This window comes from Homo sapiens, chromosome 5 (genome assembly GCF_000001405.40).
Source record: "Homo sapiens chromosome 5, GRCh38.p14 Primary Assembly".
Lineage (NCBI taxonomy): Eukaryota > Metazoa > Chordata > Mammalia > Primates > Hominidae > Homo > Homo sapiens.
Window position 1 is genome coordinate 27,263,884 of NC_000005.10, and position 4,321 is coordinate 27,268,204.

Consider the following 4,321-nt stretch of genomic DNA (forward strand, 5'->3'; position numbering starts at 1 on the left):
ATGGTAGATCCACTGACAGATTGCACCATGCACCTGGAAAAGCCACAGACACTCAATGCCAACCTGTGAAAGCAGCTGCAGGGGTTGCACCCTGCAAAGCCACAAGGGTGGGTCTGCCCAAGGCCTTGGGAGCCCACCTATTGTGGCAGTATGGCCTGAATGTGAAACATGCAGACAAAGGAGATTATTTTGGAGCTGTAAGATTTAATGACTGCCCTGCTGGGTTTTGAATTTGCATGGGGTCTGCAGCCCCTTTGTTTTGCCCAATTTATCTCTTAGAATGGAAGCATGTACCCAACGCCTGTACTCCCATTGTATCTTAGAAGTACCTAACTTGTTTTTAATTTTACAGGCTCATAGGCAGAATTTTACAGGCTCATAGACTCTGCCTTTTCTCAGATGGGATTTTGGACTTGGACTTTTGAGTTCAGGTTGGAGTGAAATAAGACTTTTGGAGACTCTTAGGAAGGCATGATTGTGTTTTGAAATGTGAGAAGGAAATGAGATTTAGGAGGGGTCAGGGTCAGAATGATATGGTTTGGCTTTGTGTCCCCACCCAAATCCCATGTTAACTGTAATTCCCAATGTTAGAACTGAGGTCTGGTGGGAGGTGATTGAATCAAGGGAATAGTTTCTAATGGTTTAGCACCAACCCCCTAGTACTGTGTTGTGATAGAGTTCTTAGGGGATCTGCTTGTTTGGAAAGAGTGTAGCACCTCCCCCTTGATTCTCTTTCTCCCCTACCACCATGTGAAGATGTGGTTGCTCCCCCTTCACGCTTCGCCAAGATTGTAAGTTTCCTGAGGCCTCCTCAGCCATGACTCCTGTAAGCCTGTAGAACTGTGAGTCAATTAAACCTCTTTACTTTATCAATTATTCAGTCTTAGGTTGTTCTTTATAGTACAGTGAGAATGAACTAATACACTCAGATTATTTCTAATTATGGTAACCTAGGTGGGTGCCAAACTGCCTGTGTCCTTTTTAAATGCAGAATGGGATCAAAAAGTAAAGTGACTTTAAAAGGAGCCCTAGAATTATGTCAGCTTCTGCATTAATTTCAAATTGTCTTCATATTGTACTTCACTCTGTATCATCATTGAACATTTATTAAAAGTACTTTAATCTGCATTTTAGATTTCATCTCATCTTCAGTCAGAAATAATATTGAAGGCTGGTCTTCATTATGTCGTCTTAGAAAAAAATATCCCATGCTTTGGAGCACATAGGCAAACAAAGACCAGTGTCTGCTTTCTCATGGGCATTTCATGAGGCCATATAAAGTGGTCACTTTAATTACAGAAAAAGGCACAGGCCGGAAGCATGAGTAAAAACTAGTATATCTTTAAAAAAAATACAAGATATATTGCCATAAATACCAAAGAAATAGGTGAAGATATTTGGGCTCAATTTATAGTAATAAAGCCAAGGACTCCTTTTAAAGTTGAAGTCTGAATCACACAGTGTAGTCTATTTGCATAGTATTTACTATTACAAAATTTTGAAATGATATGTAAAGTGATATTGTTTGGCTGTGTCCCCACCCAAATCTCATCTTAAATTGTAGTTCCCATAATCCCCACATGTCATGGGAGGGACCCAGTGGGAGGTAATTGAATCATGGGGGTGGTAACCCCCATGCTGTTCTCATAATAGTGAGTGGGTTCTCACAAGATCTGACAGTTTTATAAGCTTTTCTCCCTTTGCTCAGCACTTCTCTCTCCTGCTGCCAGGTGAAGAAGGAGGTGTTTGTTTCATCTTCCGCCGTGATTGTAAGCTTCCTCAGGCCCCCCAGTCCTGTGGAACTCTGAGTCAATTTAACCTTTTTTGTTTATAAATTACCCAGTCTTGGACAGTTCTTTATAGCAGCATGAGAATGCACTAAAATATGAAGTTTCACTCCGGTTTTTAGATTTATCATAGGCTTTATTTTGGAATAATATTTCAAGCTGAAAAAAGCATTATACATTGTTTATCCAGATTTTAATATTTTCTATCAGGATTTTAATGGACTTATGCTATCCAATAGATTTAAATTCATAAACTTTGAGTATTTTTTCTCTGTAATTTATATTTTTAAATTAAATTTTTCAACAATAAGGAAATACTTATTTTCAACAAGTTAAAAGTTGTGTATTGTACATTTAAAATGTTTTATACTAAATTTTGTAATTTGGTTAAAACTTATTTGAATAGGTCACATACAGCAGATTGTCTGAAGAGCCCCCCTCCTGAAACATTAATTCTATTTATAATGTGGAAATAAGTTATATTAGTCATTCAGACAAATAGAAAGTCTGCTCAATTATCTGTTAAGTCAGACTATTTTTGGCTACAAAAATTGGTAGCAACTGGTTAAACAGCTATTCCTTTCTGTAGGGGTGGAGCCCTAGCTGCACCACAGAGATCCATTTTCATGTAACCCCAAGAAGGAAGTGATTTTCTCTGTCAGAGATAATGTGATTTAGTCCTTCCCTTGGCCACAATGTGACAAAGAAATATTACTGCATAACACATAGACACACAAAGAACACTCAAGTTGGAGAGATAAGCTTTTCTAAGGTTAAATGGAAAAACATCCAGTCAGCATTCAGCAAAGCATGCAGAAGAAAAGCAAGCTCACTGAAAACAAAAATGAATTATACGGCAGAACTTAAAGCAAACATTGAGCAATTTTATTATCAAAGGCCGAGTAGAGGGTAGAAGCATGACTTTCACAGACCTCCAATTCAGATGTACAGACATGCAATATCATTTTCATGTAACTGCATTTAATTTGTATCACAAATCCTCACTTCTGAGTAATAATAGAAACTCCAATTTAATCACTTCCTTGTAGACTCTGTCAAATTCAATTACTTCAATATATTAAACACAGTAAATTTGAGGATTCTGTATGCTCACTATATCTCCCTTTCTTTCTGAAATTGATCCTTGTTCTGGGATATTTAATTAACATGCCCCAAGCTAGTGCCGTGCCAGTGGAGATGAGTATATGGCTGGTGGACACACAAGACCCTATGCAACATTTCACCTAGGCACTCAATTCTGTGCAGGCTCCCTGTGGGCTTCCCTCCATGTTGGCATCACTGAGTCATGGCCCACTTTGCTACCTAGTATTCAGCCCTTCCTGTCCTGGCCTCTGCTATCTATATTCTCCTCTGCAGAATTTGGTGATATTTCAGAGTACTGATTGGTGCGTTTACAATCCCTGAGCTAGACAGTGCTGATTGGTGCATATACAATCTTCCAGCTAGATATAAAAGTTCTCCAAGTCGCCACCTGACTGAGGAGCCCAGCTGGCTTCACCTAGTGGATCCCCAGCCGGGGTGCAGGCGGAGCTGCCCGCCAGTCCCACGCTACACGCCTGCACTCCTCAGCCCTTGGGCGGTCGATGGGACCAGGTGCAGGCGGAGCAGGGGGCAGAGCCTGTCGGGGATGCTCGGGCCGTAAGGGAGCCCATGGTGGGGGCAGCTGAGTCCTGGTGAGAATTCAAGCATGGTGCGGGTGGGCCGGCAGTGCAGGGGGACCTGGCACCCCCTCTGCAGCTGGTGACCTGGGTGCTAAGCCCCTCACTGCCTGGGGTGGCAGTGCCGGCCGGCTGCTCCGAGTGCCGGGCCTGCCGAGCCCACGCCCACCCGGAACTCATGCTGGCCTGTGACCACCGTGTGCAGCCCCAGTTCCCGGCGGTGCTTCTCCCCCCACACCTCCCCTCAAGCAGAGGGAGCCATCTCCGGCCTTGGCCACACTAGAGAGGGGCTCCCACAGTGCAGCGGTGGGCTGAAGGACTCCTCAAGCATGGCCAGAGTGGGCACCAAGGCCAAGGAGGCACCCAGAGCAAGCGAGGGCTGCCAGCATGCTGTCACTTCTCATGATGATGTGGTTTTACTGTGTAACTGTTCCTCATCAGAGCTCGCGGACAATCATTCTCATGAGTTTTAAACATCAAATTACTTTATATTTTCATACCATGCCTTGTCTACTTGCTCATTACCAAATTTTTTTTGCAGTCTAATAAAATGGTATACGAGATTTTTATAAATGTTATTCTAAGATGTTCCAGTTGTTCACTTTGTATTTTCAAAGGCAAAGATATTCTTACATTAAAACTGAAACATATTCATGTTAATCACAATTGTATACTCCTTTGTAAATCTTTACGTTTTCAATTTCATAAAGTTGTCATGTTAACACAATTGAAAAGTCTTTGGTATGAGAAGATTTAATTAGATTTCATGTCAGTAAAACTAGACATTTAATTCAAATGCATATCATAGCAAGATGGGAATATGAGAAATGAAAGAGCATCTGCTGAGATTTTGGA

The 4,321-nt window shown here is 41.7% G+C and overlaps 1 annotated feature.

The window, feature by feature from the left end:
• Nucleotides 2,326-2,526: a silencer, noted in NCBI's record as "peak5193 fragment used in MPRA reporter construct". NCBI's record gives its function as "represses an SCP1 promoter by STARR-seq MPRAs in K562 erythroleukemia cells {active_cell/tissue: K562}" and the evidence as "EXISTENCE:reporter gene assay evidence [ECO:0000049][PMID:32103011]".